This window comes from Homo sapiens, chromosome 4 (assembly GCF_000001405.40).
Source record: "Homo sapiens chromosome 4, GRCh38.p14 Primary Assembly".
Lineage (NCBI taxonomy): Eukaryota > Metazoa > Chordata > Mammalia > Primates > Hominidae > Homo > Homo sapiens.
Window position 1 is genome coordinate 146798054 of NC_000004.12, and position 25941 is coordinate 146823994.

Here is a 25941-nt window from a genome sequence, read left to right on the forward strand (position 1 = left end):
ATCTGCTGCTAATCCCATTCAATTTATTTTTCATCTTGGACATTTTATTCCATGACTCTTTAAGTTCCTACTACCTACTTGAACATATGGACTATAGGATATAGGAGTGGCATCAGATTTAGGAGGGAAGAGGTAGCCACAAAGTAAAGTATATGAAGAGGAATAATCATGAGGAGAAAAGCAGGAATATTCAGAAATCAGGAGCCCCAGGAACAGCGGGGGATAGGGTAGGGTTGAGGAAATGCTAAGGGGAAGTAAGACACAGGATTGGATACAGGAGGATGAATTAAAGTCTTCAGATAAAATAGTTCACTAAGATTAGCAGCCTCAAGAGTGCCAACCAGGGAAAAGTAAAACTTTTATTATAAATTCTAGCAGAAGGATCAAATACACTTGGTCTTCCTATAGTTGTTTAATATATAATAAAAATAATGATAATAATAAGTTTCCTTTTGTGGAAACTCACAGAAGCCGATGTTTGTGGGGAGAAAAACAACAAATAAAATGCTCATGAACATCTAGATTGTACTCTTAAAGACTACAAAATACTGGCCGGGCTAGGCATGGTGGCTCATGCCTGTAATCCCAGCACTTTGGGAGGCCGAGGCAGGTGGATCACGAGGTCAGATTGAGACCATCCTGGGTAACACAGTGAAACCCCGTCTCTACTAAAAATAGAAAAAATTAGCCAGGTATTGGGGCGGGCACCTGTAGTCCCAGCTACTCGGGAGGCTGAGGCAGGAGAATGGCATGAACCTGGGAGACGGAGCTTGTAATGAGCCGAGATTGCACCGCTGCACTCTAGCCTGGGTGACAGAGCCAGACTCCGTCTCAAAAAAAAAAAAAAAAAAAAAAAAAAAGACTACAAAATACCATATTTAGTGAGAAAGATGCTCTTACTGAGAAATCATGGTCAGTTCCAGAGGAATCTTGTCGACATATATTTTGAACCTCAGGTAACAGGTTAAGGACACAAAATGAAATCTTTTGCTGAAAGTCACAAAGCTAATTAGTGCTCAATATGATGTTAGAGCTCAGATCACTGGACTCTTGACTAGTAGCCTCTCTGAATGACACCAAGCTGCCAGTAGGTGAGCTTTGATTCAGTCATATTTTTCACCAGATTCTTCTTTTTCTTTGTGTTGGTTATGAAAACATTATTAAAGACAGAGAGTTCCTCTGTGATTATAAGATGGATGAAACCTACTTGCTTGCTGACTTTTTGGCTAATTCCATGACCTCCTCCTCATTATTAAAGTTAATAACCAACAGAAGTAGCTGATTGTAATAAAAGCTGAGGATCACTAGTGAGTGTGATTTTTTTTCATTTTTTTTAAAGGGTTGAGTTCATGAATGAAAAATACAAGCAAGGAACAGGTTACAAAAACATGACTCAATATTAAGCCCAGGGACCCACATTAAGCCAACATAAACCAAGGGCTGTGAGACAAAGTCATGGTTTTGATCATTCTCTTTTAAGAATACTAAATGATGCATAAAACTACGATGATATCGTTGCCAGTCAAGGAAACCTTTACATGCCATTTTGTAGAAAACAGTGTCTTTAAGTACTGACTGCCAGCAGTTTAATCTACTATATTTCTATAGTCAGGATTTGCATCTTATTTCTCTGATGTCATTTACATTTGGCTACAATAAGAAAGTACATGAAAACCATGTTACTGATATAATTATTATCAGTGAAGTGGTTAACAATATTGGTATTTAAATGGCTATAATTACATTTCTAGGTTGACACTGCTATTAAGTTGAATATGGAAAGCTTTTGCTTCTGTGTTGCTGTTCCACATGTGGGTCTGAGATCTCCAAAAGGCCAGATGAATGAGCCTTTCATTTAAAAAAATTCTTCTTGATTGTAGAGATAATAGCTCTAGTAAGGAAAGTAAACTATATTCTGGAGAAATCAGCAGAAATTCATGGGCTCTTAAGCCTTCTGGAGCCAAACAATTTCAGTTGATTTAGGATGAACAATTTTATTGAACTGCAATCAATTTGAATTTCTTCTAAATCCCTAAGTTTGGGAGGATAATCTATTCTTATTTTAATATTGGAAAGAAAGAATAAGCACTCAGGTCTAACCATATCTAAGAGTCTTAGAATAGAATGAAGGTGCCTACATTTGCTGTGTTCCCTCTGAAAGGTATAAAGATGAGAGATGATTGCTGGTGAGTCACTGTTCTATTTCATCTAGAGACCTGAATGCTCTCACTGCTCTATTCCCTTAGGGGGTCATGTTCCTCTGCTTAAAAGAATATTGCCTGCTCTCTGAGCTAATGATTTGTTTGGAGGATGGAAGTCTCAGAGGTGAAGATAACTGCACAGCTTTTAAAATGTATCTTTCAGATCTTTGATCTGTTTTTTTTCTGAATACATGGGACTCTTCAATGGCAAGATTAAAGATGCCTTTTCTTAGAAGAAAGGCAAAAGTTGAAAACTTAAAAGCTGCTCAGATTTCCAAATAATATTTTTGTATTTTTTCATTTTGTTGACATCATGTTGGGTGAGTGTCATCCTTCATTCATGTGATAATTGGATGGTAATCAAAATACAGTGTTGGATCACAGGTTTTCCAAGAAGGGGGGATACTACACATTTTGTTTAAAAAGTCGTTAATGCAAACTAGTTTATGATTAGGGCATACATACTCATTTTGAATTCTATTTGATTCAACAAATATTTACTTGGTACCTAGTAGATGCCAAACATCGTGTCTTCTTTTGTAGGGAATACCAAGAACAAGGGCCTGTTTTCAAGAGACTTTTACCCTTAATCAGGCAGTTAAGGCGATTACAGAAATGGCCGTGGTAGGATGCAGAATATGCCAAATGAAAAGCGAGTGGAGAGAAATGAATGACATTCAATGTGGGACAGAGAAGAGACCACATTTAAATAAGAGGGCATCATGGAGGGTTTCAGCATTTGAGAATGACCTAGCAAAACGGGCAAGATTTTCCTGGATGGGGCTAGAACTGAAAGTAGGTGATAATAAACCATGTGGTATGCTGAGGGCAGGGGGAGTGGCAGAGGACAGGGGAGGGAAGTGGTCAGAAAAGATTGAGAAGCTTGTATTTAATGAACAGGCAGTGGGGAGCCGAGGAAGATTTTTTAAGCAGAGCAGAGATGGTGTTAAGAGTTGTGGTTCAAGAAGTATTTTTGAAGCATTTTAAAGCAGAATTTCACGTCTTTTGAACTAAAAAATATGTTTATGTAAACAAACCTGTTTGATAATATCCTACAGATTTTATTTTCCAAATAGAAGGGCTACCCCTGAAAATGTTAAACCATGCCAGTAGTATGAGAATTAATTTCTCACTTGTACTTGGACCCAAAAGGTTATTATTTTTCAGTTTTATAATATTGTGGCTCATCCATGCATATATTTCTAATGTAGGTGAAATAAATCAGCAAAGGAGTGTTTTATTTTATAGCATTCTGAACAACTTAATCTGCCCCCCTCTACCATACAAATAGCTGTTTTTAATATCTGAATAATATTTTGATATGCTTTTGTTCTGCTCCTAAGTCCTGTTGGAAAAAAAAATGACCTTACAAAAACATGGAAATAAAACATAAAAAGTATAGAAAAATAAATAGTTTTACAGAATAAAGAAAAACAAAAGAGCAAGGTGCAGTGGCTCACGCCTGTAATCCCAGCAGTTTGGGAGGCCAAGATGGGTAGATCATGCGATCAGGAGATCAAGACCATCCTGGCTAAGACTGTGAAACCCCATCTCTACTAAAAATACAAAAAAAATTAGCCGGGCGTCATGGTTGGGTGCCTGTGGTCCCAGCTCCTCAGGAGGCTGAAGCAGGAGAATGGTGTGAACCCGGGAGGCAGAGCTTGCAGTGAGCCGAGATCATGCCACTGCACTCCAGCCTGGACAACAGAGCGAGACTCTGTCTCAAAAAAAAAAAAAAAAAAAAAAAAAAAAAAAGAGACTTTTTTAAAGCGAAAATCAGGATGGCCTCGAATAGACATAGATCTGATCAGAAGATACTGTTTTCAGGAGTATTTTTTTTTTCATAATTACCATTGTGATGATTGGAGTTTATCCAAAATAAATCTGAAAATGTGAGAAGCTTTACTCATCTTCTACTAAACCTTCATCAGAATAAGTAATCTAATATAGGTCATGTTTCCTCTGCATTGTTTTCTGCCATTCTGGGCAGAAAATATGCGAACCTGAAGGATACATAACTCAAAACTACAGACCTCTCAAATACGTGATGACAAGACAGCATGCTGAAGTAAGCACAATATGACCTGAAAGCAGTCAGTTAATAATGGACTGTAAATATTTTGGGGGTGTTTGAACACACTGAAATTCAAGAAGCTGCCAATTTTTTGAAGACTTCATCTTGTTTTCTCTTACTATGGATGTATTTGGAAGAAGATCTTTCCTCTTTTTTATAACTAGAGGACGGTGGGTAGTTAAGTAGTATTCTACTGACCTAAAAAAGTCAACAAAACTTATTTGTGCTTAATTTGCTATTATTTACAATTTATTCTATGGAGGAAATAAATAAATATCAAAATAGATTGTTGTTTCATCTAAATGACCACAGGGGAAAACAAAGAGTTCAAATCAAATAGAAGATACTTCACATTACAAAAGGTTTGCCTTATGATTCCATTTGAGTTATGCCAAAATATTTTACTTTAAAAAGTTTGATTTGCACACAAATAAAAGAACTCTAAAGGCTGTCATAGGCAGTATTGTTTTTTATTTTATATTGTTTTGGTTTTTAAAATATCCCATTCTAAAGTTCTTAACTGGGAACTAGAGCCAAACCTAGTTGGCACATAATACTGACCCCTGCATCCCTTCTAGTTGTTTGGTTTTAATTTACTATTTTGAATAGAATTCTTCAATTCTATTGAATAAGAAAAAGCATGTGGCAAAAAAGTAGAATTGAGAAAGATTACTACCAACTATTTTCTAAATTAATATTCCAACTCAAACTGATAAAAATACTTATCAGTAAAGTAAGCGCATAAAACAAATTAGCATTCATCTACAGTCACTCTTTTCAGTAAGGTATAACATGGCGCATGCTAAAAAAGCATAAGCTTATTTCACATTCCTTATGCCTCATCAGTACCTATTGTTGACTAAGATAACTGGTGAAAAAAAAAACAGCATGAGAATGGTGATTTATCAGGTACACCACATTATTACCACTATTTTATGCTTCTCTTAAACATCAAAGGTATAATTTAGCACAAAAGTATATCCAACCTTCATGTAGTAATGGATCCATAAAATTGAAATTACCAATCAAATTAAAATCACCGACATTTGAGTGAAACTTTCCAATGAAAGTAAATTAATCATTGAGAATGATATGAAAACTAAAGTGTTCTAAAAACCAATGCCTTACCAGTAACTGGATCAGGTTCAATGTTACCTCTGCTCTCCTTCCATGACAGCAGGTAGTTGAGGCTGGTGAGATCTGCAGACTCTATATAGTTGTTCACTGTAAGCATCATCTGATGAGCTTTTGCTATTCCATAGTGAACTTTTGTCTCATCCATCAGAGGCATGCTCATTAGCTCTACTGTTGTGTCAAAAGCTTGCTGAAAGCATTCAGAAGCTTTGTTGTAGTATCCCTAAAAAGGTAAGAGAAATAATTTTCTTTCTTACTTTTAATGTCACCATTTCACATATTTTCTGACCTTACCCTGGCATGTCCCACACTGACCTTTCGACAGTTACAGCAGTTCATCTTCAAGAAGAAACAGATGGCAAGCAGGCTATTAGGATAAGTTTCTTTTAAAGACCTGTGATTACTCACCATTCAATATCTTGAAATTAACTTAGTAGGAAAGTTGTATCTATTAGACTAAGCTATATAAGACTTAAGTTCTGCAATGTCTGGCAAGATGACTGAATAGGAACAGCTCTGGTCTGCAGCATCCAGTGAGCTCAACACAGAAGGCAGGTGATTTCTGCATTTCCAACTGAGGTAACCGGCTCATCTCTTTGGGAAGTGTTAGACAGTGGGTGCAGCCCATGGAGGGCAAGCTGAAGCAGGGTGGGGCATTGCTTCACCTGGGAAGTGCAAGGGGTTGAGGAATTCCCTCATCTAGCCAAGGGAAGCTGTGAGGGACTGTGCTGTGAGGAATGGTGCTCTGTGGCCCAGGTATTATGCTTTTCCCATGGTCTTCGCAACCCACAGACCAGGAGATTCCCTCTGGTGCCTATGGGTTTTGAGCACAAAACAGGGCGGCTGTTTGGGTAGACACTGAGCTAGCTGCAGGAGTTTTTTTTTCACACTCCAGTGTTGCCTGGAATGCAAGCAAGACAGAACCATTCACTCCCCTGGAAAGGAGGCTGAAGCCAGGGAGCCAAGTGATCTAGCTCAGCGAATCCCACCTGCAGGGAGCCAAGCAAACTAAGATCCACTGGTTTGAAATTCTCACTGCCAGCATAGCAGTCTGAAGTCAACCTGGGATGCTCGAAGTTGGTGGGGGGAGGGGGGCCCACCATTATGGAGGCTTGAGTAGGCAGTTTTCCCCTCACAGTGTAAAGAAAGCCTCTGGGAAGTTCCAACTGGGTGGAGCACACCACAGCTCCCCAAAGACCCTGTAGCCAGACCGCCTCTCTAGATTACGCCTCTCTGGGCAGGGCATCTCTGAAAGAAAGGCAGCAGCCCCAGTCAGGGGCTTATAGATAAAACTCCCATCTCCCTGGGACACAGCACCTCGGGGAAGGGAGGCTGTGGGCGCAGCTTCAGCAGACTTAAATTTTCCTGCCTGCCGGCCCTGAAGAGAGCAGTGGATCTGCCAGCACAGTGCTCAAGCTCTGCTAAGGGACAGACTGCCTCCTCAAGTGGGTCCCTGACCCCCATGCCTCCTGACTGAGAGACATCTCCCAGCAGGGGTCGACAGACACCTCATACAGGAGAGCTCTAGCTGGCATCTGGAGGGTGCCCCTCTGGGACGAAGCTTCCAGAGGAAGGAACAGGCAGCAATCTTTGCTGTTCTGCAGCCCCGCTGGTGATACCCAGGCAAACAGGGTCTGGAGTGCACCTCCAGCAAACTCCAGCAGCCCTGCAGGAGAGGGGCCTGACTGTTAGAAGGAAAACTAACAAACATAAAGGAATAGCATCAACATCAACAAAAAGGATGTGCACCCAGAAATGCCATCCGAAGATTACCAACATCAAAGACCAAAGGTAGATAAATCCACAAAGATGAGGAAAAAACCACACAAAAAGGCTGAAAATTCCAAAAACCAGAACACCTCTTCTCTTCCAAAGGATCATAACTCCTCACCAAAAAGGGAACAAAACTGGATGGAAAATGAGGTTGACAAACTGACAGAAGTAGGTTTCAGAAGGTGGGTAATAAAAAATCCCTCCGAGCTAGAGGACCATGTTCTAACCCAATTCAAGGAAGCTAAGAACCTTGACAAAAGGTTAGATGAATTCCTATCTAAAATAACCAGTTTAGAAAAGAACATAAATTACCTGATGGAACTGAAAAACACAGCACAAGAACTTCGTGAAGCATACAAAAGTATCAATAGCTGAATCGATCAAGCAGAAGAAAGGATATCAGGGATTGAAGATCAACTTAATGAAATAAAGTGTGAAGACAAGATTAGAGAAAAAAGAAGAAAAGGAATAAATAAAGCCTCCAAGAAATATGGGACTATGTGAAAGGACCAAATCTACATTTGATTGGTGTACCTGAAAGTGATGGGCAGAATGGATCCAAGTTAGAAAACACCCTTCAGGATACTATATGGGAGCACCTCCCCAACCTAGCAAGACAGGCCAACATTCAAATTCAGGAAATACAGAGAACACCACAAAACTCTTCGAGAAGAGCAACTCTGAGACACATTATCGTCAGATTCACCGAGGTTAAAATGAAGGAAACAATGTTAAGGGCAGCCAGAGAGAAAGGTCGGGTTACCCACAAAGGGAAGCCCATCAGACTAACAGCGGATCTCTCTGGAGAAACCCTACAAGCCAGAAGAGAGTGGGGGCCAATATTCAACACTCTTAAGGAAAAGAATTTTCAACTCAGAATTTCATATCCAGCCAAACTAAGCTTCATAAGCTAAGGAGAAATGAAATCCTTTACAGACAAGCAAATGCTGAGAGATTTTGTCACCAACAGGCCTGCCCTACAAGAGCTCCTGAAGGAAACACTAAATATGGAAAGGAAAAACCAGTACTAGCTACTGCAAAAACACCGAATTGTAAAGACCATCAACACTATGAAGAAACTGCATCAACTGATGGGCAAAATAACCAGCTAGCATCGTAATGACAGGATCAAATTCACACATGACAATATTAACCTTAAATGTAAATGGGCTAAATGCCCCAATTAATAAACACAGACTGGCAAATTTGATAAAGACTGAAGACCCATCGGTGTGCTTTATTCAGGAGACCCATCTCATGTGCAAAGGCACATATAGACTTAAAATAAAGGGATGAAGGAATATTTACCAGGTAAATGAAAAGCAAAATAAAAGCAGAGGTTGCAATCCTAGTCTCTGATAAAACAGACTTTAAACCAACAAAGATAAAAAAAAAAAGACAAAGAAGGGCACTACATAATGGTAAAGGGATCAATGAAGCAAGAAGAGCTAACTAGCCTAAATACATATGCACCCCATACAGGAGCACCCAGATGAATAAGGCAAGTTCTTAGAGACCTACAAAGAGACTTAGACTCCCACATAATAATAGTGGGAGAATTTAACACCCCACTGTCAATATTAGACGGATCAACGAGACAGAAAATTAACAAAGATATTCAGGACTTGAACTCAGCTGTGGACCAAGCAGACCTAATAGACATCTACAGGACTCTCCACCCCAAATCAACAGAATATACATTCTTCTCAGCACCACATCGCACTTATTCTAAAATTGACCACATAATTGGAAGTAAAACACTCCCTAGAAAATACAAAAGAATAGAAATCATAACAAACAGTGTCTCAGACCACAGTGCAATCAAATTAGAACTCAGGATTAAGAAACTCACTCAAAACTGCACAACTACATGGAAACTGAACAACATGCTCTTGAGTGACTACTGGGTAAATAACAAAATTAAGGCAGAAATAAATAAGTTCTTTGAAACCAATGAGAACAAAGACACAATGTATCAGAATCTCTGGGACACAGCTAAAGCAGTGTGTAGAGAGAAATTTATAGCACTAAATGCCCACATTGAAAAAGCAGGAAAGATCTAAAATCGACACCCTAACATCACAATTAAAAGAACTAGAGAAGCAAGAGCAAATAAATTCAAAAGCTAGCAGAAGGCAAGAAATAAATAAGATCAGAGAAGAACTGAAGGAGACAGAGACACAAAAAACCCTTCAAAAAATCAATGAATCCAGGAGCTGGTTTTTTGAAAAGATTAACAAAACAGATAGAATGCTAGCCAGAATAATCAAGAAGAAAAGAGAGAAGAATCAAATAGATGCAACAAAAAATGATAAAGGGGATATCACTACTGATCTCACAGAAATACAAACTACCATCAGAGAATACTATAAATACCTCTATGCAAATAACTAGAAAATATAGAAGAAATGGATAAATTCCTGGACACATATACCCTCCCAAGACTATACCAGGAAGAAGTCAAATCCCTGAATAGACCAATAACAAGTTCTGAAATTGAGGCAGTAATTAATAGCCCACCAACCAAAAAAAGCCCAGGACCAGACAGATCCACAGCCAAATTCTATCAGAGGTACAAAGAGGAGCTGGTACCATTCCTTCTGAAACTATTCCAAACAACAGAAAAAGAGGGACTTCTCCCTAATTCATCTTATGAGGCCGGCATCATCCTGATAACAAAACCTGGTAGAGACACAACAAAAAAAGAAAATTTCAGGCCAATATCCCTGATGAACATTGATGCAAAAATCCTCAATAAAATACGGGCAAACCAAATCCAGCATCACATTAAAAAGCTTATTCATCATGACCAAATTGGCTTCATTCCTGGGATGCAAAGCTGGTTCAACATACGCAAATCAATAAACGTAATCTCTCACATAAACAGAACCAATGACAAAAACCACATGATTATCACAATAGATGCAGAAAAGGCCTTCGATAAAATTAAACATGCCTTCATGCTAAAAACTCTTGATAAACTAGATATTGATGGAATGTACCTCAAAATAATAAGAGCTATTTATGACAAACCCACAGCCAATATCATACTTAATGGGCACAAGCTGGAAGCATTCCCTTTGAAAACCGGCACAAGAGAAGGATGTCCTCTCTCACCACTCCTATTCAACATAGTATTGGAAGTTCTGGCCAGGGCAATCAGGCAAGAGGAATAAATAAAGAGTATTTGAATAGGAAGAGAGGAAGTCAAATTGTCTCTGTTTGCAGATGACATGATTATATATTTAGAAAACCCCATCATCTCAGCCCAAAATCTCCTTAAGCTGAGAAGCAACTTCAGCAAAGTCTCAGGATACAAAATCAATGTGCAAAACTCACAAGCATTCCTATACACCAATAACAGACAGAGAGCCAAATCATGAGTGAACTCCCATTCACAATTGCTACAAAGAGAATAAAATACCTAGAAATACAACTTACAGGGATGTGAAGGACCTCTTCAAGGAGAACTGCAAACCACTGCTCAAGGAAATAAGAGAGAACACAAACAAATGGAAAAACATTCCATGCTCATGGATAGGAAGAATCAGTATCGTGAAAATAGCCATACTGCCCAAAGTAATTTACAGATCCAATGCTATCCCCATGAAGCTACCATTGACTTTCTTCACAGATTTAGAAAAAATTACTTTAAATTTCATATGGAACTAAAAAAAGAGCCTGTATAGCCAAGACAATCCTAAGCAAAAAGAACAAAGCTGGAGGCATCATGCTACCTGACTTCAAACTATACTACAAGGCTACAGTAACCAAAACAGCATGGTACTGGTACCAAAACAGAGATATAGATCAATGGAAAAGAACAGAGTCTTCAGAAATAATGCCACACATCTACAACCAACTGATCTTTGACAAACCTGACAAAAACAAGCAATGGGGAAAGGATTCCCTATTTAATAAATGGTGCTGGGAAAACTGGCTAGCCATATGCAAAAAACTGAAACTGGGTCCCTTCCTTACACCTTATACAAAAATTAACTCAAGATGGATTAAAAACTTAAACGTAAGACCTAAAACCATAAAAACCCCAGAAGAAAACCTAGGCAATACCATTCAGGACATAGGCATGGGCAAAGACTTCATGACTAAAGCACCAAAAGCAATGGCAACAAAAGCCAAAATTGACAAATGGGATCTAATTAAACTAAAGAGCTTCTGCACAGTAAAATAAACTATCATCAGAGTGAACAGACAACCTACAGAATGGGAGAAAATTTTTGCAATCTAGCCAACTGACAAAGGGCTAAAATCCAGAATCGACAAAGGGCTAAAATCCAGAATCTACAAAGAACTTCAACAAATTTACAAGAAAAAAAACAAACAACTCCATCAAAAAGTGGGCAAAGGATATGAACAGACACTTCTTATAAGAAGACATTTATGCGGCCACCAAACATATGAAAAAAAAGCTCATCATTACTGGCCATTAGAGAAATGCAAATCAAAACCACAATGAGATACCATCTCATGCCAGTTAGAATGGTGATCATTAAAAACTCAGGAAACAACAGATGCCGGAGAGAATGTGGAGAAATAGAAACGTTTTTATCCGTTGGTGGGCGTGTAAATTAGTCCAACCATTGCAGAAGACAGGGTGGCAATTTCTCAAGAATCTAGAACCAGAAATACCATTTGACCCAGCAATCCCATTACTGGGTATATTCCCCAAGGATTATAAATCATTCTACCATAAAGACACATGGACACATATGTTTATTGCAGCACTGTTCACAATAGCAAAGACTTGGAACCAACCTAAATGCCCATCAATGATAGACTGGATAAAGAAAATGTGGGACATATACACCATGGAATACTATGCAGCTATAAAAAAGGATGAGTTCATGTCCTTTTTATGGACATGGATGAAGCTAGACACTATCATTCTCAGCAAACACAGGAACAGAAAAAACAAACACCGCATGTTCTCACTCATAAGTGGGAGTTGAACAGCGAGAAGACATGGACACAGGGAAGGGAACATCACATACCTGTTGGGGACTGGGGGACTAGGGGAGGGATAGCATTAGAAGAAATACCTAATATAGATGACAGGTTGATGGGTGCAGCAAACCACCATGGCACGTGTATACCTATGTAACAAACCTGTATGTTCTGCACATTTATCCCAGAACTTAAAGTATATATAAAAAAAGTCTTATGTTCTTATCAATAAAAGGTGGTCAAATATTGGCAGTTTCATATGGTTCAACCTAATACATGGTAGTAAAAAGAAATTTGGGAATGAGTGAACCAATTCACATTGATTTGGATGGAATTTTACTATTCGTAGAGTTGGATTTAGCTAATGAAATATTTTTTACATACCTTCTTTTTTTTTTTTTTTTTTTTTGAGGTGGACTCTCACTCTGTTGCCCAGGTTGGAGTGCAGTGGCATGATTTCAGCTCACGCAACCTCTGTCTCCCAGGTTCAAGCGATTCTCCTGCCTCAGCCTCCCGAGTAGCTGGGATTACAGGCATATGCCACCACGCTCAGTTAATTTTTTATATGTTTGGTAGAGACAGGGTTTTATCATGTTGGTCAGGCTGGTTTCAAACTCCTGACCTCAAGTGATCCACCCGCCTCCGCTTCCCAAAGTGCTGGGATTACTATGTTTTGTTTTCAGTCACAGCAAAAGGTCATTTCAGCCAAGTCATTTAGTTAATGGATGGTGAAAATAAATGTATCTATCCTCTAATTCGTTTACTGCTCTTATTTTCCCATGTTCATATGCCATTCTTCTTAACTGAGAATATTGAAGTATCCAAAATTTCTGAAAAATATGATCGTGATGTCACTAGCACCAATCAAATGATCATTTAAATATCTCTTCAAGAAGTCCTTTGCAACAGCTCGAGCTGCAAAAATTCAGGGTTTTGTTGTTGTTGTTGTTTGTTAGTCAGTGTCACCTCTATTAAAAGCTATCCTCCACAAATAAATACTGTTTACATGGCTCTTATGAAGCATGGGGGCCAATGCTAAATACTTCGTATATATTATGTCATTAACTTTCACATGTCACCCTATGAGGAAAATATTATTCTTATTTTACAGATAATCATATTGAGCCTCAGAGAAAAGAGCATCTTCTGCCACCCCCAAATCTTCTAAAAATCCTCATGAAAATCTCTTTCTAAGAGGAGGATATTATCTAGGATTGATCTACATTTGTAAAGGCTCTAGGAGACAAAATTTCCTTTCTTCACTGACTTCTAACCCTTTAGGCTCCACCATCTCCTCCCTTCCACTCATCTCTCTCCTCCTCACCCCACCAAACACACAAAAACCAAAAACATGCATGTGCACTCTTTTGAACAGAAACCCTTACATGGGAGAAAGTTTTGCCGTATGAGTTGTTGTCAGTTTCTAATATTTTATGAAGGAAATGAACATAAAAACAACACAGGAACAGCTTTATACCATTACAGCAAGTAGAGGTAAAACACATCTTCAACTCTGCATACCTCTGTATAATCATGAAGCTCCAAGATCGGTCAAACTGACTGAATAAAGAAATTTCTGGCAAGGTGAGGAGGAGGAGAAATAGAACTTCTGTGATCATTTTGTTAGAAACAGGAAGAGCACATATAACACTATCTTATATGCCCACACAGACAGTTTAGGAGAACTGTTTATTCAAATGATTCATTTCAACCAACTTTGTTAATTGAAACAGAGTCTCTCCATATTACATCAAAAATAACTTTTGTTTGCTGAGGTGAACAATTCTTTCTCTTTCTTCAAGGCATAAAACATAAAATTTATATAAGAAAAAAAGTTAATTAGAAAAAATAAAACTGTATCAAAGATATTTGTATGCCAATGAAGTAAACTATAATTGAGAAACATACAAATATTACAAATATTGAAGATGATGAAAATAAATGTCACTAAAATTATAGATTTTCCTGGTAGATATAAAAGACATAGGACAAAATATATGAAAATATATAATTAGGCCAAACATAACCATTTTTTTAGAAACAAAAGTATAAATATCTAATTGATATTCTAATTATATTTCTGAGATTTCAATTATTTATTGTTTTAGGTGAGAGTCTTAATTAGGAAAATTAGAGACCACAAATAAGTGGACATAGATATGAATTTCCAGTTATTTTTATATGTTATTAAGTTAAAATTAACTCATTCATTCATTTGGCAACCACGCTGAGCCAGGCCAAATGCCAGGCCATGCAGAAGGAGCAGTAAATGGAGTTTCCACTCAAGTTTTTGAGGTTACTGTTAAGTGTAAGTAGTGATATGCCTAAAATTTTGATTAGATCTTATTTATAAGTGCCTTTTTACTCTTAAAATGGGAGCTTTATAATTAGCTAATTATTATTCCCTCAAATTGTACTTAGTATTCCATCTGTAGATGCACACAACTGACATTAAATAGATATAAACCTACCAGTTTTTCTAGTTTCTCTATTTTAAAACACTACTAAAGAAATAAAAAATTAATTATTTTAAGATGCAAACATTTGTATACGTACCATTTTAGAATGAGATTTTGCTAATGTATATTGTACTTGTGGATGTTTAATTCTTAGAGTTTACTGTCTAAATCTCTTCTCCAAAGGTTAAATACAACTTTCTACAGTTTATTTCTGTTATCAGATAATCCCTATTCTATTATAAAATTCAGAAGATTCTAGTAATTAGTCTTGGTAATCTCAAATATGAGTTTGACAATATGCATCCTAAATGAATCTTACGGGAAGAGAACAACTTCGTTTAATGTTATTAATATTCCTGATAAGCATTCAGTGGACAATTCCAGGACAGGATCTTGATGACATCATAGACCTTGGAACAACGCTCGAATTATTACATTATAACATAGAATTTTCATGCATTATTTTGATTTTTAGTGTCTAAAATGTCACTCTATTCAATGAGCAAGCTCAAAATAAATGAGCATTTTCTCAGTACTAAGGATAAATCATTTCCTACCCATTTTCCCTATAATTTTAGCGTTGGAACCACCATTCTTTTTAACTATGTCATTAGTCTATGATTTTATTAAGGAATGAGAAATCTTATAAACCTAGTTATTTCCTCTGAAACATTCTCATTTGACCACTTTACACTAGTTATATATTTTCAATTAACAGTCCATCAAAAGACCCGGAGGGTAGGATGAGTGGTCCATTTTCTATGATTACATAGTAAAAGGTAAATAACTAGGATACAGGATATTTTTAAGATGTGCTAATTCTAATTATAATTACTATAATAATTACAGAAAAGGTAACTCCAATATTTTTCCAATTATTATAATTTTGGTCTTATAATATTTTTATTTCTTGAAAATTGTTAAGAATACAATTACAATACCTTGCAGGAGTAATATGAAGCCAGAAAATATTGGGTTTGCTTTTAAAGTTTCAGGACAAGTTTTCAAAATGCTAAAATATTATACAAAAATGAAATAGAGGCTGGGCATGGTGGTTCATGCCTGTAGGTAGCCAGCACTTTGGGAGGCCGAGGAGGGAGGATCACTTGAGGGCAGGAGTTCGAGACGAACCTGGCCAACATGGTGAAACCCCGTCTCTATGAAAAATACAAAAATTAGCTGGGTGGGGTGGCATGTGCCTGTAATCCCAGCTACTTGGGAGGCTGAGGCAGGAGAATCACGTGAACCCGGGAGGCAGAGGTTGCAGTGAGCTGACACCACACCACTGCACTCCAGTTTGGGCAACAAGAGTGAAACTCTGTCTCAAAACAACAACAACAACGACAAAATGAAATAGAAGTCTGAACTTTCACAAGTGAGAGAATACTACTCTTAAGTGGTATGAAACTGGTTACAAATTTATTTATTGGTCCAAGGAACTGACATGTTTTTGATCACCTATTCTGTGCCAGGTTTTTTTCTAGACACTAGAATAATAAACGAGGCAGATATAGTTTCCGCTCTCATTAAACTTACATTTTGGCCAAATTAAACAACAATAATAAGAAAATAACATGAACAAGAAAACTATGAGATAAATGCTACATGGATAATTCAAATACAGTAATTTTAAAGAGTGACCCAGGTGGGGCAGCTCATGCCTGTAATCCGCAGCACTCTGGGAGGCTGAAGCAGGAGAATCCTTTGAGTCCAGGAGTTCAAGACCAGCCTGAGCAACACGACAAAACCCTGCTTCTATTTAAAAAAAAGTTGGGGGGTGGTGGGGGGACGGGCACGGTGGCTCATACGTATAATCCCAGCACTTTGGGAGGCCGAAGTGGGCGGATCATGAGGTCAAGAGATCAAGACCATCATGGCCAACATGGTGAAACCCTGTATCTACTAAAAATACAAAAATTAGCTGGGCGTGGTGGCGCACGCCTGTAGTCCCAGCTACTCAGGAGGCTGAGGCAGGAGAATTACTTGAACCCGGGAGGCGGAGGTTGCAGCGAGCCGAAATTGTGCCACTGCACTCCAGCCTGGCAATAGAGCGAGACTCCATCTCAAAAAAAAAAAAAAAAAAAAAAAAAAGGGGAGGGGGGCGACTTGATGGCCATTCTTTCGTTGCTAAGGGGAAGGCCCCACTGAAGAGGTGGCATTGAACAGAGATCTGAGTGACAAGAAGCCAGCAATGTGAAGTTCAGAGCATTTCATGTAGAGCATTCCAGCCAAGGCAAATGTTCTAAGGCAGGAACTAGCTTAACATGCTTAAAGAACTCCAAGAATGTCAATTCGCTATGGTGGAGTGGATAAAAAGGAGTAGGAAGCAATGAGGTCAGAGATAGGGGTGGGGCTATCTCATATTTTAGGACAGGGTAGGGATTTATGTTTATGTTCTCAGAAGAATGAGAAGTAATGGAAGCATTTTAAGCAGAGAAATCGCATTTTACATTTTAAAATAATTACTTTGGCCTCTTTCTGCTTATGCGGGGGTGGGAGGGAAGAGAGTGCATGCAGGAAGCTGAGTTTAGGGCTTACTGCAGTGTCTACATGAGACAATATAGTGTCATAAACTGATGTGACAGTTGCAGAGATAGAGGGAAAAGGGTGGATTCGAGATATATATTTGGTAACATAAAGGTCAGAGTTTGCTTTTGGATTGAATATGGAGCCGGGGGAGAGGAGAATTGAAGGATTTTCAGATTTTTGCCTTAAGTGACTGGGTGGATGGATAATGTTACTATTTATTAAGGTGGAGAAGAGTAGAAAGGAGTGGGTTCCATTTGAAATATGTTAGAAATCTGGGTGGAGGTGCTAAAGAAGCAATTGCCTTTGCAAAGTTTGGAGTCCCAGGAGAAATCAGGATTGGAGATACAAATCTGGAAGTCACTGGCATATGGATAGTATTTAAAAGCCATGGGCCTGGATGGGGCAGATAAGAGGAGCTCATAGATTAAAAAGAGAAGATTGCCTGGAAAATGCCTAAATAATATTCTAAAGCAGTTGAGATTTAAGTTGTTAGAAGAAAAAATTTAGAGAAAAAAACAATAAGTTCAGTTTTTAGTACATTATAGTTGAAGATATCTAAGTGAAGACATCAAGTAGGTGGTGGGGTATGCATTTGGAATTGAGGGGAGAGATCTGAGCTTTTAAAAGGATTGTTCCTCAAAACAGAAGGGCAAAAAACACAACTTTTTAGCCTACCTCCAAACAACACCCAAACCCAGCCCTTCTGTACAACATGAACATTGCTAACCAATATTTTCCTAATAACAGAAAGCACAAGGAAAATAAACTTTTCTGAGGGGCAATATTTTTATACTTGCATTTTCTTAATGTTTTTGCCAAGAGTTTATATCTCAGCAATGTGTATTTAATTCTCCGATTTTTGATTCTTGGAGAAGAGTTTAGTGTCTGAAGTTAAGGTATAAGAAATAATATCCAAAAGCTGTGTCAACTTCCAGAAGTTAAATTTCATCAGTTCATCCCTATTCTAACAAAAAATTTGGAGGATTCTGGGTATTTGCACTATCTTCAAATATATATGCCTTCAAATATACAAGTTGATTCATACACCATATCATACTGCATATATTCATATACTATATCTTTTCTTCTATGCTATAGGAGATGCTCCCTCATTAGACTGTGAGCCTCACAAGGGTTTAGGTCTTGTCTGTTTTCACCACTGTATCCTAAAAAGTAAGCAAAAGCAAATAAAAAATCAAGGAGAGAGGAGTCAATAAAGGCAAAGAAATGGGCAGGGAACCAGAGGGTAGCAGAGGAAGCACACGACATGCAAAACCTGAGCACAGCTAGAGCAACAGGCAGGGGAGGACTCGAAAAAAGAGGGGAAACAACGTGGTGGAGATGGGGGAGAGGGATAGGATGACCCAGGGGTCAGAGAGCAAGGAGGAGGGACGAGAAGGAAGGATGCAGGACAGGAGGGAGCAAGATGGGTAAGGGAGGCAGGGAGAAGAAGGGCCAGAAGAAAAGGGGACTTTTTAGATTTCAAGTAATAGGAGAGAGGGGAGGCAAATGAGCCCAGGGGAGCAAGAGAGGGGATGTAAGACAAAAAGGAAATGAGACACCTTGTTTGAAAGCACTTACTCTATATCAGGAACTAAAGAAATATTAGTTTCACTCATTCAAATTAATTTCAAACTCGATTTCCTTAAAAAAAATCCTAAATCCTTCTGAAATAAAGTCAATTTTATGGCAAACAACAGAATACTGTAGTGGTTAGGAGAATGGGTTTGAATACCATTGCCACCCAGAATTATCTGAGGGTCTGGCAAAGGGGAATTGTTTGATACCACTAAGGGTGTAGAGAAAAACAGAAGTTTATAAAGATAGTACCTCAAGACAGGGATGCCCTCTCTCACCACTCCTATTCAACATAGCGTTGGAAGTTCTGGCCAGGGCAATTAGGCAGGAGAAGGAAATAAAGGGTATTCAATTAGGAAAAGAGGAAGTCAAATTGTCTCTGTTTGCAGACGACATGATTGTATACCTAGAAAACCCCATTGTCTCAGCCCAAAATCTCCTTAAGCTGATAAGCAACTTCAGCAAAGTCTCAGGGTACAAAATCAATGTGCAAAAATCACAAGCATTCTTATACACGAATAACAGACAAACAGAGAGCCAAATCATGAATGAACTCCCATTCACAATTGCTTCAAAGAGAATAAAATACTTAGAAATCCAACTTACAAGGGATGTGAAGGACCTCTTCAAGGAGAATTACAAACCACTGCTCAATGAAATAAAAGAGGATACAAACAAATGGAAGAACATTCCATGCTCATGGATAGGAAGAATCAATATTGTGAAAATGGCCATACTGCCCAAGGTAATTTATAGATTCAATGCCATCCCCATCAAGCTACCAATGACTTTCTTCACAGAATTGGAAAAAACTACTTTAAAGTTCATATGGAATCAAAACAGAGCCCGCATCACCAAGTCAATCCTAAGCCAAAAGAACAAAGCTGGAGGCATCATGCTACCTGACTTCAAACTATACTACAAGGCTACAGTAACCAAAACAGCATGGTACTTGTACCAAAACAGAGATATAGATCAATGGAACAGAACAGAGCCCTCAGAAATAACGCCATGTATCTACAAGTATCTGATCTTTGACAAAACTGAGAAAAACAAGCAATGGGGAAAGGATTCCCTATTTAATACATGATGCTGGGAAAACTGGCTAGCCATATGTAGAAAGCTGAAACTGGATCCCTTCCTTACACCTTACACAAAAATTAATTCAAGATGGATTAAAGACTTAAACGTTAGACCTAAAACCATAAAAACCCTAGAAGAAAACCTAGGCATTACCATTCAGGACATAGGCATGGGCAAGGACTTCATGTCTAAAACACCGAAAGCAATGGCAACAAAAGCCAAAATTGACAAATGGGATCTAATTAAACTAAAGAACTTCTGCACAGAAAAAGAAACTACCATCAGAGTGAACAGGCAACCTACAAAATGGGAGAAAATTTTCACAATCTACTCATCTGACAAAGGGCTAATATCCAGAATCTACAATGAACTCAAACAAATTTACAAGAAAAAAACAAATAACCCCATCAAAAAGTGGGCAAAGGATATGAACAGACACTTCTCAAAAGAAGACATTTATGCAGCCAAAATACACATGAGAAAATGCTCATCATCACTGGCCATCAGACAAATGCAAATCAAAACCACAATGAGATACCATCTCACACCAGTTAGAATGGTGATCATTAAAAAGTCAGGAAACAACAGGTGCTGGAGAAGATGTGGAGAAATAGGAACACTTTTACACTGTTGGTGGGACTGTAAACTAGTTCAACCATTGTGGAAGTCAGTGTGGCAATTCCCCAGGGATCTAGAACTAGAAATACCATTTGACCCAGATATCTCATTACTGGGTATATACCCAAAGGACTATAAATCATGCTGCTGTAAAGACACATGCACTCGTATGTTTATTGCAGCAGTATTCACAATAGCAAAGACTTGGAACCAACCCAAATGTCCAACAATGATAGACTGGATTAAGAAAATGTGGCACATATACACCATGGAATACTATGCAGCCATAAAAAATGAAGAGTTCATGTCCTTTGTAGGGACATGGATGAAATTGGAAATCATCATTCTCAGTAAACTATCGCAAGGACAAAAAACCAAACACCGCATGTTCTCACTCATAGATGGGAATTGAACAATGAGAACACATGGACACAGGAAGGGGAACATCACACTCTGGGGACTGTTGTGGGGTGGGGGATGGGGGAGGGATAGCATTAGGAGAGATACCTAATGCTAAATGACGAGTTACCTAATGCTAAATGACGAGTTAATGGGTGCAGCACACCAGCATGGCACACGTATACATATGTAACTAACCTGCACATTGTGCACATGTACCCTAAAACTTAAAGTATAACAATAATAAAAATAAATAAATAAATAAATAATAAAAAAATAAAAAAATAAAAAAAAGATAGTACTTCTCCAGCTGTAAAGCACATACGTTAACTTAATATGCACAATAACTTTATGAGGTGAGAAAACCGAGGCACCTAGAAATTTAAGTAACTGGCCCAAGGTCACAGATCTTACAAGTGAAAGAGCTGGGTTTTTAACTCAAGCAGTGTGGTTTTGGAATTAGTGATTTTATTCACTACATACACAGACTCTGAAAGAGATTAACAGAAAGTGTATAAACATAATTTGAGAACATAATTACCCTAAAAATGATGGATCTTATTCATGATCAAAACAGCAATTATAACTAGAGAAACAAGGCTCTTTCACACTATTTCTAAAGGAGAATCGGTAATAAAAAGATAAAATCAGGAGAAAATACGACAAAAGTCCATTGTGACCAGTACATTCTACTAATAACAGCTTCTTGAATTGGATAATTTTATTTTGGACTTTTTTGTTCTTCTTCCTGTTTTCTCTTTCATGTAATGAATCTGTTGCTAAAATCCACTCTAAATTTTCTGCAGAATTATTTTTAGGATTGTCGTTTCTTCTTCTAAGGAAACTAGCAGGGTGCCACAGCTGGATTAATAAAGAATTTGGAGCGAGAGAGATGAATGTCAGTGGAAGCAGATAATAGCCAACAGTTATAATCAATTTCCTTTGAATTAAATATTTTAATTGCTCCTCAAATCCTGTGTCACTTAGAATCCTCACTGGATGTGAATCTATGAATCAGGGTTAGCAGCTCATAAGGACTGTCCCCGCATGGCCCTAAGATATTGGAAAAGGAGAAGGAGGAGGAGGCATTTCTCCTACTAGTCCTTGCCATGGACATTAACTACACCCTGCAGTCCAGGGCCATTCTGCATAATATATTGTGGGAAGACAAGGATGACATGAGAAGATACTTTTAAAATGGGAAATTTCTCCCTAAACACCGCAAATTTCTCTATAAACAAGAAACACATAGACTCACTTTTTCATTGTAGATGTCCCCAAGCATTGTACTTGCTCTCACCAAATCTAGGCTTTGAAAATTGTTTCTTGCAATTTTCACAAATTTTTTCAAGTATTTAATTGCTTCTGTCATCTCTCCTTGGCTAGAATGAATGAAATAGGAAGTCAATGGAGTATCATCTCACTTAATGTCACAGTAAAGAGGAAGTATCTTGTGTCTTTGCTGTAGAAAATGCAAGATGGTTATCAGGATAATAAGATTTAATGTGTAAATACCAAATTAAAATATATGGCTTGTTTTTCTTGGAGCACACATTGAGTTAAAACTTAAACTTTTAAATCCTCATGCATTGCTAACAGAAATGTAAAATGGTACATCTTCTGGGGAAAACAGCTTGGAAGTTCCTCAAAAACTTTAACATAGAGTTACCATATGACCCAGAAATTTTACTCCAAAATATATACCCAAGTGAAGCAAAAATATGTCAACACAAAAAGTCATATACATGAAAGTTCATAGCAGCATTATTCATAATAGCCAAGGCATGAAAACAATTGAAATGTATATCAACTGATGAATGGGTAAACAAAATGTGTTGTATACCTACAATGAAATATTATTCAGTCTTAAAAAAGAATGAGGTAGGCTGGGCACGGTGGCTCATGCCTGTAATCCCAGCACTTTGGGAGGCCCAGGTGGGCGGATCACGAGGTCAGGAGATTGAGACCATCCTGGCTAACATGGTGAAACCCCATCTCTACTAAAAATATAAAAAATTAGCCAGGCATGGTGGTGGGCACCTGTAGTCCCAGCTACTCAGGAGGCTGAGGCAGGAGAATGGCATGAACCTGGGAGGCGGAGCTTGCAGTGAGCTGAGATCACAGCCTGGGCAACAGAGCAAGACTCCTGTCTCAGAAAGAAAAAAAAAAAAGAATGAGGTAGTGATACATGTTGCAACATGGATGAAACTTGAAAATATGCTAAGTGAAAGAAGCCAGACAACAAAAGATCACACACCATATAAGCCCATTTATACGACATGTCCAGAATGGCAAATCCATGAGATGGAAAGTAGGCTAGTGGTCGCTAGAGGCTGAGGAAAGTGGAGGATTGAGAAATGACAAATAATGGGTACAAGGTTTCCTTTTAGGGTGATTGAAATTAGATAGCGGCCATGGTTGCTCAACCCCATGAGTACACTAAAAACCACTGAATTGTAGACTTTAAATTTTTAAAGTGAGGACTCTTTTAAATTGAAGGCTTTTAAAGTCTACAATTGTTAAAGTCATAATTGTATAGCATAAGAATTATGTCTCACTAAAGCTGTTTTTAAAAAAAAACTTTTAAAAGTTTATAAAAGGCGAATACTAGCTTACTCTTGAAAGCTTTCATTGGTAGTGAAAGCTCAGGTGTCACTAAAGTCACATATACAAGTGTTACATATCCTCACAAAATGTTCAGGAAGACATATAATTTCTAGCAGAGAATTTGGCATATAGTAAGCATTAATACATTTTTCAATGAAGTAATGTTGAAAATTTGAGAAGGGAGACACATATGCTGCACACATGAAAGCTAAGCATCCAGGTAAACTGTGAGAACCTTAAGGCATATAGATGTTTGGAGTCTATGATTGTAAACTCCTGACCCTTGGATATTCCAGTAACATCAAGAAACTTTGGGAGCCTAGCAAATGTCCCAAAATTTGCTAGTTGCTGGGGAATAAGGTTCCTGTGCTTGAAGAGTTTCACTGTCAATTTGGAGAAATAAGTGTATAAATTCATACATGGGATCAATTGTGACAGGTACTGACTTGTATACAGTGCTTTGAAACCTGGAGTACATTCACTCACCTATCCTCGTAAGAACATGTCTAGTGTTTTTTTTTTTTTTTTTTTTTCTGGGTTTTCTAAGTGTGACTCCAAATTCTTTTAGCTATTTCTAAAGACCGAACCCACCTCTCAACTGGGGCTATTTAAAAGAACATGTTGCAAGTTCAGAAAGTATTTTCTTTTAAAAAAAAAAAAAAGGGATACATGTGTAGAACACACAGGTTTGTTACATAGATCTACCTGGGCCATGGTGGTTTGCTGCACCTATTGATCCATCCTCTAAGTTCCCTCCCCTCAATCCCCACCTTTCAACAGGCCCTGGTGTGTGTTGTTCTCCTTTCTGTGTCCTTGTGTTCTTAGTGTTCAACTCCCACTTGTGTGAGTGAGAACATGTGGTGTTTGGTTTTCTGTTCCTGTGTTAACTTGCTGAGGATGGTGGTTTCCAGCTTCATCCGTGTCCCCACAAAGCACATGATCTCATTCTTTCAATGGCTGCATAGTATTCCATGGTGTATATGTACCACATTTTCTTTATCCAGTCTATCATTGATGGGCATTTGGGTTAGTTCCATGTCTTTGCTATTGTAAATAGTGCTGCAATAAACATATGTGTGCATGTGTCTTTATAGTAGAATGATGTAGGTTTACTGAATCATTTTCTGGATCCTTTGGGTATATATCCAGTAATGGGATTGCTGGGTCAAATGATATTGCTGCTTCTAGATCTTTGAGGAATCACCATACTGTCTTCCACATTGGTTGAACTAATTTAACTTCCACCAACAGTGTATAAGTGTTCCTATTTCTCCACAGCCTCACCAGAATCTATTGTTTCCTGACTTTTTAATAGTTGTCATTCTGACTGGCGTGAGATGGTATCTCATTGCGGTTTTGATTTGCATTTCTCTGAAGATCAGTGATGTTGAGCTTTTTTTCATGTTTGTTGGCTGCATAAATGTCTTCTTTTGAGAAGTGTCTGTTCATATCCTTTTTCCACTGTTTGATGGGGTTGTTTGTTTTTTTCTTGTAAATATATTTAAGTTCCTTGAAAATTCTGGATATTAGACCTTTGTCAAATGGGTGGATTGCAAAAGTGTTCTCCCATTCTGTAGGTTGCCTGTTCACTCTGATGATAGTTTCTTTTGCTATGCAGAAGCTCTTTAGTTTAATTAGATCCCATTTGTGAATTTTTGTTTTTGTTGCAATTGCTTTTGGTGTTTTTGCCATGACGTCATTGCCTGTGCCTATGTCCTGAATGGTATTGTCTAGGTTTACTTCTAGGGTTTTTATGGTTTGGGGTTTTACATTTAAGTCTTTAATTCATCTTGAGTTAGTTTTTGTATAAGGTGTAAGGAAGGGGTCAAGTTTCAGTTTTCTGCATATGGCTAGCCAGTTTTCCCAGCACCATTTACTGAATAGGAGATCCTTTCCCCATTGATTGTTTTTGTCAGGCTTCTTGAAGATCAGATGATTGTAGATGTGTGGTGTTATTTCCGAGGTCTCTGTTCTGATCCACTGGTCTATATGTCTGTTTTGGTATGAGTACCATGCTGTTTTGGTTGTAGCCTTGTAGTATAGTTTGAAGTCAGGTAGCATGATGCCTCCAGCTTTGTTCTTTTTGCTTAAGATTGTCCTGGCTATATGGGGTCTTCTTTGATTCCACATGAAATTTAAAATAGTTTTCTCTAATTCTGTGAAGAATGTCAATGGTAGTTTGATGGGAATAGCATTGAATCTATAAATTACTTTGAGCAGTATGGCCATTTTCATGATACTGATTCTTCCTATCCATGGGGATGGAATGTTTCTCCATTTGTTTGTTTTCTCTCTTATTTCCTTCAGTAGTGGTTTGTAGTGCTCCTTGAAGAGGTCCTTCACATCTCTTGTTAGCTGCATTCCTAGGTATTTTATTCTCTTTGTAGCAATTGTAAATGGGAGTTCATTCATGATTTGGCTCTCTGCTTGCCTACTGTTGGTGTAAAGGAATACTTGTGATTTTCACACATTGATTTTGTATCCTGAGACTTTGTTGAAGTTGCTTCTCAGCTTCAGGAGA

The 25941-nt window shown here is 38.0% G+C and overlaps 1 protein-coding gene across 12 annotated transcripts in view; it reads right to left on the reverse strand.

The window, feature by feature from the left end:
* Nucleotides 1–25941, reverse strand: part of TTC29 (tetratricopeptide repeat domain 29) — a 239248-nt gene that overhangs the window by 91437 nt on the left and 121870 nt on the right. For 8 of the 12 annotated variants that reach the window (NR_133922.3, NM_001317806.3, NM_031956.4 and 5 more), the window contains 2 exons: nucleotides 22072–22195; nucleotides 5404–5632 (listed from right to left, as the gene is read on the reverse strand). Coding sequence is in view for 10 of the 12 variants with exons in the window: in NM_001317806.3 (NP_001304735.1) it covers nucleotides 5404–5632; nucleotides 22072–22195 (353 nt within the window). In the remaining 2 variants the exon portion in view is untranslated. Of the gene's footprint in view, nucleotides 1–5403; nucleotides 5633–22071; nucleotides 22196–25941 lie in introns of those variants that run through there. The other 4 variants (XM_006714336.2, XM_005263270.2, XM_047416242.1 and 1 more) reach the window with 2 other exon arrangements.